The 13,277-nt window shown below is 42.8% G+C and overlaps 2 long non-coding RNA genes across 2 annotated transcripts in view; one reads left to right on the plus strand and one right to left on the minus strand.

The window, feature by feature from the left end:
* LINC02192 (long intergenic non-protein coding RNA 2192) overlaps positions 1-13,277 on the minus strand; it is a 37,817-nt gene that overhangs the window by 16,319 nt on the left and 8,221 nt on the right. The gene's annotated exons all lie outside the window — the stretch shown is intronic.
* Positions 1-13,277, plus strand: part of LINC02133 (long intergenic non-protein coding RNA 2133) — a 49,851-nt gene that overhangs the window by 7,052 nt on the left and 29,522 nt on the right. The gene's annotated exons all lie outside the window — the stretch shown is intronic.

Raw genomic sequence — 13,277 nt, forward strand, 5'->3', positions numbered from 1 at the left:
CTCCTGAAACTAAATGATTTAGTGTCCGGGAAGCCAGCCAATTAAATGTGGCTCCAAGAATATATTTAACCTTGAAAATGTTTTCATTTCAAACAGAAATGCAGCCCTAGGGCAAGAGGGTAACTTAATGCCCCTGGGAATGCTGTGCTGGTCTATATACCTTGCTCATTCATTCATTCAATGAATATTTATTGAGTTCTTACCATGTATTATACCAGGCACTGTGTCAGGTGAGCAGTATTCAATGCCAGCTGACATGAAGTCTACTGGGAAAAGATAGACCACTGAACAGACAATTAGAATCTGCTGTGATAGGTGCTGTGCTAGAGACAGACACAGGGGCTGGGAGATTAGGGTCCTTGGAGGAAGTGGCATCTCAGCTGACTGTGAAGACTCGCAGAAGTTAGCAAGTTAATGGGGAACGGGAGATCATGGCAAACAAGGATGTGCAAACAAGGAGCACAGCTCAGGGGACTCAATATGGAGCAGTAGGGCCAAGCATGGCATTGCTTGGTAAGTCCAGTCCCATTCAGGAAGCCTATTGGTGAGTATTTCAAGTCCAAGGCCAAGTCTGAATTTCCAGTAAGCAGCCTCATGTACCTAAGGGAATAGCTGAGGCACTTATTTCCCTTTCTTCTAATTTTGTGAAGTCTTCCTTCCCTCTAGTCATTTTCTGTTTAGACCCGAGGTTCTTTGTTGTTTTCACTGTGCTGCTTTAGGTACAAACAGCTGCAAGTCACCATACACGCAGGATCAGTAATTGAGTCTATCTCAGAAAGATATACTTTCTCAAGATGGATGTGAGTTTCACTTCATTGTCTTCTGTTCATCCTTCACTTTGCAAGATTCATAAAAAAGGATGTTCCTTGCCAAGGAACTGCCTATTGTTAAGAATTCTCATCCTTTTCCTTCTTCCTTTCTCTGCCCGAGGCAGCTTCCTCTGAAAGTGTGAGCACAAAGGAAAATGGGCATTTTTCTGCCTGACTCAGAGGCTGTGGGTTTTATTCCTAACATTCAAAAGAACCGTGCACTGCTGGGCTCCCGAGAGTCAGCCATGGCTTTCCAAAAGCATCCAAGGGTAGAGGTACTGTGTGTTAATATTAATAGGCTATTGTTGGCTCTCTAGAGGAATTTTCAAAGGGCTCATTTTCCTGCCTCCTTTCTTCTCCCTAGACCGCATTGCTTTTTTTAAGTTTGGATTGCTTAAAGCAAATATAGAAAAAGCAAATTTGTTTCTGGGAGGATAGTTTGCCTTTCTCGAATCTTTCAAGTCCTCCTGCATAGGTGTTGCCACCAAGGCAAGCTTCAGCATTTCTTTTCTCTTCTCATTCTCTGTAGGAAGAGTCTGAGTGTGCAAGGGCTGGTAGAGCCAAGAAGTCAGTCTGTGCTTTTAAAGAGGAAGACAGGGCATTTTCCCTCAATGTCCTTTTGCAAAGTGGAAGGAGAGTGCCACTCCCACTCTTGAAGTGTAGATTTGATGTGGAAGACCTTTCAGAAATATGCAAGTATCTGCTGTTGGGGCCCTAATATTTGTGAGAATGCTGTGTGTGAATTGTTTATATTTTGATTCTTCTAAATTACTTAAGGCTAGAATATAGCTAATATGATGTGGTAAAACAAATCACAAAGGTACAAAGATTTCTTTGAAAAAATTTAGAGTGTTAAGAGATTTCTGTAGGGCAAGGCTCTTAGAGGACATCTAAATTGTACAAGATTGTCTCCACTTCCTGGAAGATAAGCATAGACATTCAACAAGTATTTATTGAACACCTATTTTGTGTAATAGTTTGCAGGTGATTTGATTGCCTACCTAGAAAATCCAAGAGAATAAACCAAATAACTATTAATTCTGATGAGTTTAATAATGTAGTAAAATACGAAAGTCACAAGTACAAATTGTTAGTTATCCTATATATCATTAATAACCAATTAGAAGACATAAAGGGGAAAGGCTCCATTCACAATAGCAAGAACAAACTTAATAAGATGCAAAAGACCTATGTAAAAGCAATACTAAAATTTGCTGATGGACATAAAAGATCTAAACAAGTAGAGATATATACTATATTCTTAGGTAATCTCATTAATTCTTTCCAATTAAACTATAAATTCTCAATTTTAAAATCTCAATTAAAACCACAGTAGGAAACTTAAACTATTCTGTCTATTGTAGAAGTTGAGCATCCCTAATCAAAAAATCTGAAATCCAAAATGCCCCAAAATCTAAAAATTTTTTAGCACTGACATGATAACAGAAGTGGAAAATCCCACACCTGACCTCATGTGATGAGTCACAGTCAAAACTTTGTTTCATGCACAAAATTATTAAAAATATTATATAAAATTACCTTCAGGCTATGTGTGTAAGGTGTATGGAACATAAATGAATTTTATGTTGAGACTTGGGTCCCATGCCCAAGATATCCCATTATGTATATGCAAATATTCCAAAATCTGAAAAAAAAAATTCGCAACACTCTGGTCCCAAGCATTTTGGATAAGGGATACTCAACCTGTATATGTGGAAGACATAAATGTCCAAATGGAGCCAAAAAACAATTTGAAGTGGCTTGCCATATAAGATAGCTAAATTGATGTTACAAGCCATTTTAAATAAATGCCATAGAGGCACCACAAATCAAAACCAATGGGAGGTGGCCAAAGTGGTACTCAGAGGAAAATATATAGCTTTAAGTGCATACAATGGAAAGCAGAGACATATTGAAAATTAATGAGCTCATCTTCAACACAGAAAACTAGAAAAGGTAACAAAACAAACCAAAGAAAGTAAAAAGGCTAAATAAAGTTAATAAAAATATATGTTAATAAAGTAGAAAATAAACTCATTAAATTTGATTGATAAAATCAAATTGACTAGAGTTTACGAAAATACTTGAGAAGACCAATAATCATGCAAGCAATTGAAGAGGCAATCAAAGATATAACCCTAGAAATTATTCATTCCTTAATGGTTTTATAGAACTCACTTATTAAATTAACCCTAGATCCAGTAATTTAATAAGTGAGTTCTATAAAGCCATTAAGGAATGGATAATTTCCATATTGTAAACATTATCTACCTACCTACTTACACATACACATACAATTTCTGGATTGTAGAAAACGATTAAAAGGCTCTAACCTATTGTATGAGTTTTTAATAATATTACTAAAATATGTCATGTAATATTACATAATATTACAAAGAAAGAGATATGTCAATATCCCTCATGAACATAAATGCAGAAAGTCTGAGTTGGAGATGTTGACTGGGAGAAATCAACACGAGAATGGTAACAGAACCCATCCCTCTACAAAATTAAGGATTGAATTAAAGGAATGTTACATCATCACCAAGTATGGTTTATGATGGCTCAGGATATCTCATTAACTCATTAAAAAATAAACACAATGTGATTATTTAAATCAATTCAGGAAAATAATGATTTACAAAATTAACACCTATTCCTTATTTTTAAAATGTCTTAGCTATGAATAGAAGGGAAATTCTCAGCTTGATAAATGTATACATTAGAAGTCACTAACATGCATCCTACTATTGGTGATATCAGAGGATTTCCAATAAAATTAGGAACAAGGTCAAGATGTCCAGTAACACTGTGGCTATTCACAGTGGAAGGAGGGGTGGAAAGTCAGGAGCAGGTGTGGGAGGTAAGAAGGTAAACTAGACAGAACCTATTGGATGTAGAGCTAAGCGGGGAACTAAGTAACTCCAGGAGGAGGCCAAGCTTCCTGGCCTTGGCACTGGCAAGGGTGGGGGCAGAAGTTGTTACTGAGATCAGGAGCACAGTAAGAACATGTGTAAGGGGTCTAAGAAGGTCAATATTGGACATGCTGACATGTTGACTTTGAGAGCCCCATTGAGATGGCATCCTGGAGCTTGAGAGAAGTCTGAGTTGGAGCTGTAAAATCAGGAGGTCAGCACAAAGATGATAAAGACAGCCATAGGAGGTGCTGAGATGGCCCAGAGAAGCAGAGGAACAAGGTACTGCACTCCACGCTCCAGCTAGAGTGAACAGTGAGTCTGTTCCAAGCCTATTGGCTCCTCTCTCATCTCAGTGCATTTACTTCTTCCATTGGAACTCCCCACAATCCTCTGCCCCCCATCCCACTCTCTCGGCCAACTCTTACTCATCCTTCATGACTCGGCTTAGTTATCAACACCGCCTTCTCACATCAACCCCTGTAAGGCTAGATCCCACTCTCTGTGCTCTCAGAGGGTCAGCAGTCCGACACAAAAAGTCAGGGTTCTGCTATAATGCTAATATAACAGAAAACTGACAATCTCAGTGTCTCACAACAACAAATATTTTATTTTTTTGCCCATCATGGGGCACGAGCTGGGGCAGCTCTGCTGCAGGCTGCAGCTGATGAGGTCTGTTCCTCATGTCTCTCATTCTAGGATGTGCTTCCATTCTAGGACATGCTCTTATTTTTGCAGGTGGTGGAAGTGCAAGAGGCCAAGCCTAGCTGTAAGCACATAGAAAGCCTCTGCTTTGTCACATCTGCTCACATTCTGTTGATCAAAGCAAGGAACCTGGCCAAGCTCAAAGTCAGAGGGGCAGGAAAGCAGACTCCGTAGTACAGATTCACAAGGCAGAGGTCATGGGCATGCAATTTCATCATAGGAAGGAAGTGAAGAATTGGGGACAACAATCCAACCCACTCCACTGCTGAGTACCACCTCTGAGTGTCAGGCTTTATGGCCTTGGCCTAGTTGCTTGTCTTCCCACTAGGTTCTCAGTGCCTTCAGGACAGGACCCTGGCCAACTTACTTATTACGGTATCTCCAGTTATGACCACAGTGCCTGCTCTAGTGAGTCATGGTGATCCATATACATCTACTGAATGAAAAATTGGATGTGAGGGGTCTCAGAGCCAAGATGGAAGAGTGTTTCAGAAAAAACAGGGAGTGATCAACACCCGAAGGACCTCAAGACTGGAGAGTACTGTTCAGATTGAATAACTTTATGTTCATTGTTAACCCTGGAAAATACAGCTTCAGGGAAGTGCCAGGGCTGGGGAGTCAGAAGTCAGACTGCAGTGGGATGGGCAGTGAATGAGTGGTGAGGAAGTACAGGTGGTGAGTGAAGACCACTTTTCCAACTCTTAGGGAATAGGTTATAAGTAATGTATGGTAAAGGAGGGATTTTAAAGATAAGAGAGGTTCAAACGAGTTTACAGGCTCAAGGGAACAGGCAAGTAAAGAGGGTACATTAGTCTGTTTTGTGTTGCTATGAAGGAATACCTGAGACTGGGTAATTTATAAAGAGGTTTATGTGCCTCACAGCTCTGTAGCCTGTGCAAGCATAAAACCATCATCTGCTCAGCTTCTGGTGATACTTCGGGAAGCTTTTACTCATGGCGGAAGGCTCCGGGGAGTAGGCGTGTCACATGGCGAGAGAGGGAGCAAGAGAGAGGCCAGGCTCTTTTAAACAAACAACTTTCACACGAACTAATAGAGCAAGAACTCACTCATTACTACCAGGGTAGCACCAAATCATTCATAAGGGATCCACCCCTATGACCCCAACACCTCCTGCCAGGCCCCACCTCCAACATTGGAAGTCATATTTCAACATGAAATTTGGAGAGGACAAACATTCAAACTGTATCAGAGGGAGACATTGAATATACCTGCGAGAGAGAGGATAACTGAGAGGGAGGTACGTTAGGTAGTGCAGCAGGGATGAAATGCAGCATAGGCAGGTGTGTGTGCGTGTGTGTGTTTGTGAACATTTGTCATGTTTGGGCTGTTAAGCATCCACCCAGCCCTCCTCGTTAGAGGAAATCCCCACTGAGTGTGGTCTTGCGAGGAGGCAGTGCCTGGCTACTAGCTGTGGGAGCTGAGGGGCTGTGCTTTCCTCTTCTGTCCCCTGGTAGCAACATACCAGCTTGTGACTTGAGCTCAGTCAGTCAAACACTCTCAACAGACTTTGAACACACCAATGGATAGTCAGTCAGGGCTCTTTCACGGTAGTGGTGGGTGCGCCCCACAGAAAACTCCTATGCTCCCTCTTTTTGGTCTTCAGAGGTCACTGTGTTGCCCTAGTTTCACACTTCCTCTTGGTTCTATGAGTCTTCAGTCCCCTTCCAGTGTGTTTTGTTTCTCTGTTTTGTTGTTGTTGTTGCTGCTATTTGGTGTTTTTGCTTATTGCTTGTTTTTTGTTATTCTATGGATGACAGAGTCTAGCTGATGGAGGATGGGGTCAACAAGCCAGGACAGGATGATGCCAGGCTCTCACTCCTGGCATCCCAGTCAATCTGTGCCATGTGGAGATGAACAGATTAACTGTACCCACAGAAAAGCTGCCATGTTTTCTGAATGTTGGTCATTGCTATAGCACCTTCCCAATGTTTTTCATGTCCACACAACAGCACCTTACATGGAGCTGCATTATGTGCTACTGCCTAATATTTTATTCCAGTTGACTAGATTTTTATTTAAAGACATTGATTTAAAAATCACCATTTCAAATGAAAACCCAGAATAATTTGCTTTAGTTAAAAAATATATACATATATAGAAAACAAAATAATGTTAAGTTCTGGACGAATACTATTACATGATGAGGGTTCTCATCCAAAGCTCTTTGTTAAAAGGGGAGATTAGCAAATGTTGTGGTTGTTAAAGACATGTTACTCCCAAGCTGAGACTTCCTTCTTGATTTAATCGGACACACTGAAGCAGAAGCAGAAGCAGAAGGGAGTGACTTTCTCACTTTGTGATTTAATGTTATTTAAGACTGAGTCAGCTCACCCTTAAATCATCTCAAATGTCAATGGGGTGCATTTCCTGCCATCTCTAGGCAGGGTGCAGCGATATGGGGCAGAGCATGGAAATTGCCAAAGGGAGGCACCAAAACATTTATGCTATTGGAGTTTCAGGGAAGGTTTTACGGAAGTGGGACTTGAATTCTGAAATACACACAGGAGAGCAGAGGCCATTTCAGTCATGGGAAACATAAAAATAAGGAGGTGAAAGTAAACAGCGGGGATATAGGATGGTATAGACCAGCTAGGCTAGAGGGCAGAGGTTGGACACAAGCTCAGAAAGGGTCCTATCCCTTCCCCCCGACCATGGGTCTTCCCCAACTTTACCCTTTGTGGGCAGTGCCTTTGCTTTGCCATCACCTGTTATATCTTGTGTCTTTAGCCTGTCCTTGCCCCTGGGATGGGAGCCATGCATGGCCAGTTGTGAATTATTGTGCAGTAGCCATTGTTTCCTATTGACTTGCTATGAGACGGGGTGGGTCTGGGTGTCCTGCTGGGTACTCCACTGGCTTCTATGCCAGTGCTTAGCCGACTCCACCAATTGGGTTGGCACAGCAGGTACCAAACTCTTGTGAATCAGATGCCATGCTTTTTGCCATTGCCATGTTAGACATATACTACTCCTTAATAACTACTCAATAATGAAAGCAACTCATTGTTTAAAGGTGTAAATAAATCGACTTTAAAAAGACATTTCATATTACTATCATAAATGCAAATCCAGCATCAGTTGCTGTAAACATGAGACAATAATTTAAAATAAATGCATAACTATCAAAATAATGCTTTTCAAGTACCATATAAAATACCTGCTGATATTTTACCTCACTGCAAGAAAATACTAGGCTAGAGAAATGAAGCAGGTCCATTTTTGGTAGAAAGGGGAAAATCTTAGAGCCTCAGAGCTGGATGGAGCCCCAGTAAATGTCTAGGTCATGGATTGCAAGCTGTTTTCCCCCACCAATAATGGTCATCCTTCCTCTTTCTTTCTCTCTGTCTCTTTTTTTTTTTTCCCTGGGAACGATGCATAAAGTAGCAAAACGTAGGGCTGAACCCTTTAATGGGCTATCTGTTTCTCTGGAGAAACCCAAAGAAACCCATTCTGCAAACCTCAACCTTCATCCCTTCCTCCCTCTTGTGCCATGCTTGCCCCCATACACAGAGAAGTAGCATCAGTGCCCTCCACCACCCACATCAGCAGCTAGGGGGAGACAGAAGCAAGTCAATGGCCAAGGAGTGGAGGGTGGGCTGGGAGAGTTCACTTAGCTTTGTGACACCAGTGCACCCCCACATTGGATAGCACCCAAGGCCCTCATCAAACATTGAGTGCCATGCTTGTTGAAGCCTGCAAATAATACCCCACGAGCCGCCAACTTCCTTTCCGAGGCACATCTGCCTGGACCTCTGTTCTGTTTGGTGCCAAGGCACTAGGGAGGCTTTAAGGAGCAGGCCGTTGCCTTTCTCTACATGTGCTTCAGGCCTGTCTTACCCTCCCCATGGTCTCCGTCATACTCCTTTCCTGAATATCATTTCTTTCCCTTTCTCCTGCACACAAAAGCTCAACACGGAGTTCATTCTGTGAGCCTAACCTTTTGCTTCCCGCACTTGGGCTGGCTCAAACGCCACTTGCAAAAATGGTAATCTCAGCAGGGCTGAGCTCAGTTCCTGCTGCCCCTTTCCAAGTTTTTGTTTCGTTGCAGAGCTCTAAACCAGTGTCTCCCTCTGTGCTTGGGAGTAAGAGCAGCATCAGACCATTGCAAACCTACTGGATTGGCTGATACTCATTGACTGGATGGAGATTTCAGAGGCAAACCTAGGCTTCTCCAGAGGAAAGTAAGACTTCAATCCCAGTCCTGCCATTTCCTATGAAACCACTTGTAATCTTGGGTTTCTCTTCGTTGTAAAGATAAGAAACGATCTGAATTTCCAAGCTTGGAGTATTGTGGTGAGGACCAATCAGGGAACGCGCATGAGAGTGCCTTGTAAACCTGCCCTGCTGCAGCAATGAGGGCATGGCTTCTGCCAGGCACCTGTAAGCCCTTCCTAAGGGAGTTGAGCAGTTCCCTTAGGGAAAATGTCTTAAATGTTGACTGAATTCTCCCCTCTTCCCAGATCTCCAAATGCCAGTAACTGATTTTGTGGAGGTGGTAGGTAAAGAAATGTTTATGCAAATTGGGCCCTGATTAGATGCAAAAAAAAAAAAAATGTTGACTGCTTTTCGAGGGTGTTCATTGTTATCTGAGAGTTTTGTTTGCACATGAGATGCATACAATGTGATTCACATCATTGGCCTCACCCTGTCTTATTTGCCTTAATGTAATTGTCTGTTCAGATCCACTGATGGTGAAAATTACATTTGTCCTTATCAGTGGAGATACTCTAAAAATGAGAAGTTCAAAGAAGGCAGAGGCTTTAATACAGAGAAAATGTGTTTATTTTCTTAGCTCCTTTGAAACAGTTTTATCCCCTGGAATGGGGTAATTTCTTTGCAGAACAACAAAATGGATGGCTCATGGTAACCCCTCATCAGGGAAAGTGCTAAAAAAAAAGTGGCCTGATTCAGAACATCATCAGTTCAGCAGTGTGTGCTTGAGTAACCTTGGAAGATTTGGAGATTTTCTGAGAAATCCACAATGTGTGCTTGAATGCAAAGGTCATTCCAAGCTCTTCCTATACTGAAATGCTCATGCTAGGAATTGTCCCTCAGCTGGGGAGAATATATAGGAAGACAGAGTTTAGATGTGGAGGAAAAGAGTGAAGTTTTCACCTAGTGGAACAGATTCTTTTTTTTGGTCAAAGTTTATTATTGAAACTCCCTATCTATAGGATTTTTTCAGGTCGGAGTGCAGGGGCACGATCATGGCTCACTGTAGCCTCAATCTCCTGGGCTTAAGTGATCTTCCCACCTCAGCCTCCCACGTAGCTGGACTACAGGGATGTGCCACCATACCCAGCTCATTAAACAATTTTTTTTGTAGATACAGGATCTCACTATGTTGACCAGGCTTGTCTTGAACTCCTGGGCTCAAGTGATCCTCCTGCCTTAGCCTCCCAATGTGCTGGGATGACAGGCATGAGCCACCATACCCAGCCTCGGATTTATAAGGTTTTTGTATTTTTTTTTCTGTCCAGTACAAAACGTTTGGTTACATGCTCCCTTTCAACCTTATTTACCTTCATGAGGCTGTAGCTTTATGTGGAGTCTTCGGCTATCAGATAAGTATAGGTTTCCCAGACTACATAAAATAAAAATAATAGCTAGCATTCTTTGGATGTCCATACGCCAGACACTGTGTTAAAGGCCCAACACATATCATGCCATTTAATCCTCAAAACATCCCTCTGAGCTGGGCTCTATTGCTATTATCCCCTGTGTTTTGAAGAGGGTAAATAACTTTACCCCAGGTGACACAGCTGGTGACTGGGGAGCTGGGACTTGAGCCCAGGTGTGTCCCCGCCTCTATGGCAGTGATCTAATTAACAACGAGGCCAGAACTTCCTGAGCATATGGTGTGGATCAGGCTCACCCAGGAAAGGTTTTGGAAATACAGCAGGTCCTTAAATAATGTCATTTTGTTCAATGCCATTTTGTTATAATATTGATAAGGAAAAGAAATTGATTCCCGTCAGGGGCCACTGTTTGTGTGGAGTCTGCAAGTTCTTCCAATACCTGTGTGATTTTTTCTGGATACTCTGGTTTCCTTCCACATCCCAGTCGTGCACGGGAGGCTCACTAGTGCGTCTCCTTGTCCCATTTGGAGTGAGTGCGGGTGTGTGTGCTTTGCCATGGGACGGCCTCTTAGCCAGGTCAGTTCCTTCCTTGTGCTCTGAGCTGCTGGGATGGGCTCCTGAAATCCTTAACTGGAATAATTGGGTAAATAATTATCTTACTTGTTTTTAATTAATCTTTCTTAATGTATGGATAGTTCAATTTATTTCAGTGTTTAATATCAGAAGTGTTTTGGGTTTTTTTCTAGAGGTTTGGTGATGTTTCTGTGACCAGAAACATAGGAGCTTAACTCTTACTTCTATCAATTAGCCTATGGTAAAATCGGTTTCGTTATATATTGTTTTGCTTAAAGTTGCAGCATCCAAGAACATATTGGCGACGTGAAGTGAGGATTTGCTGTACAGTGAAATAATGATGAAGTGTCGCTGGAGGCGAAGCCTGGGAGTGTGTGCTCTGAGATGGTCCTGCCCAGCTTTGGTTAAGACCATGCCCCGGGCCATGCAGGCTGGCATTCCATAAACTTGCCTGGCTCCTAGAATAACCCAGAGGCATTTGCTGTAATACATAATACGTAGGTTCCTAGGCTCCACTTCAGAGCTCCTGAGTCAGAAAAACCCCAAAAGCACCCGGGACATTTATTTGAATAAAGCACTTGTCTAAGGCACTTACCCAAGGACCATTCATCCAAAGGTGCTCAGCACAAATATATTGAATAAACTAGACCATTCATATGGAAGGTCACTTTTGAATTTGTTGTGGAAAGTGCTTTGGACTAAGACCTGGCTTCCCCTTCTGTTCTGCCCTAATCTGCTGAGCAGCCTCTGGCAAGTCACTTCCTCTCTTTGGACCTCAGTTTTCCCACTGGTAAAATGAGAATGGCTGAGGTGACCCTTTCTGGCTCTCACGCCTTTGAATAGCATGAATATTTATTGAGTGCACCTTTATAAGAAACATCCAAACACAGGGCTGCAGGCTTTGATTTGGATCTCCCAGCACTAATGTTTGAGGCAAAACACCTTAATTTGCTGTGAAACAGTGAATCTTTGTGGACAGGAGTCCTTTTTATCTAACGATTGATAAAGCAGGCATCTCCTCCTTCTGGGTAAACACTGAAGACATTACCTAACCACTTCATCCTGTGTGATCCCAAGATGCAATTGTTCCCCTCCACATGGGAAAGGCCAAAGGGACAGACAAGGCAAGTAATAAACATGCCTTAACTTGAAGAGTCCTTCAGTTTCCCAACTCCTTCCACACCTGTGGCCTCATCTGACTTCAACACACAACTGTAAGGTGGGCAAGTCAGGAGCGTTACCCTCATCTGGTCAAGGAGGCGCCCCAGCTCTTTCAAGTCAAGCTGGAGCTGCATTCTCAACTTCTCCAATGTGGGTGTGTGTTCCCCTGAAGAAGTTGTTTGTGAATGAGAGAAGGGAGCTTGTTGGTTCACCCTCAGCACCTAGAACCATGCCTGGCATTCAGCACTAGTAATTACCTGCTGAATGAATGAATGAGTCTGGTCCTCATTCCCTGATTATGACCTCTCAGGAAGTTTAAAGAGGTGCAAGGTGGTCTGTGGGTGTTTAGAGAATCACTTTTATTGCCACAGTCATTTTTATTGTTCTCATGTCTACCGTTAAACTCTACATTTTAGGATGCTGTTGAAAGGCTGTTGAGAACAGAATTTCCTAGTGTGAAAGTTATTAGAGAAATAAGATCAAATGGCTGCTATTCACCCTTGAGAAATTTCTATCTCTGTATGGTAGGTGGGAAAAGAGGGGGAAAACATTGTCTCTCTAGAGGCCCTGATCTAAGGCAGCCACTTCTGATAAGGCTCACCTGAAAGAGGTGGCATCATCATAAAACTATCAGGTGGATCGTCAGAAAAGATGACAGCTGGGAGACCCTAGTATCACAAACTAGCTGTGATGCCTTCAGCAAAGTCCTTCACCTTGAATTCTACCTCTCGGGTGGGACAACTCTGAGATGTGTTCTCTGCAGTAATCTCACTCAGAAAATGAGTTCTTCCCTGGGATGTGATGAAGGGCTTGTGAGGTGGCAGCTGGAAGGCCCTTTCAAGAAAGGAACAACTGCATTACCAACACTGAGCAATGGCATCAGGATCTCTTATATCAGAAGCTACAAACTGGGACCAGCACATGAGCTTGTGTAGCCTGCAGTGTTTTAAAATTTTTCAATTTGCTACCAAGACATTTGAAAATCTAGGGATTTCTAATACAATTTAGATTTATAGTTTCTCTCGAATAATGGGTCCACATTCTTGCATGGCCAACAATTGGTTGAAGCCAAGTAGCTTCTTCAGCTTCTCACTGACACAGAGGCTATCACCTTTCTCCCAGTAGAGAAACAGTTTTCTGCACCCATGGCAGGCACTGTTGGTGCCTAGCCCTCCTCCCCTGGCACCTCCAATCTCCATGCACACCAGCCAGGTGGCTTCTGACTGCAATTCCCTCTACTTCTTTCCCTGGGAGGTTTCTTTGGACAGCTGAGTATTCTCAGCCTAACCGCAGGATGGACCAGAAACGTCAAGGAGCTGCCCCTGGGAGCAAGCCTCAAGATGTGATGGATGGGAGGTGGTGAAGAAGTACCTGGACTCTGAGGCACACTCTACATTGTCCCCTGGAGGTCCTGAGCAGGGTTGAACCCTGAATGCCTCCAGCAAGAGCCTACTCATGAACATGCTGTGTTGGCTTCCCTTTCCTCCTGGTTTCCTGGAATCGCCTACCAAATAAGC

This window comes from Homo sapiens, chromosome 16 (assembly GCF_000001405.40).
Source record: "Homo sapiens chromosome 16, GRCh38.p14 Primary Assembly".
NCBI lineage: Eukaryota > Metazoa > Chordata > Mammalia > Primates > Hominidae > Homo > Homo sapiens.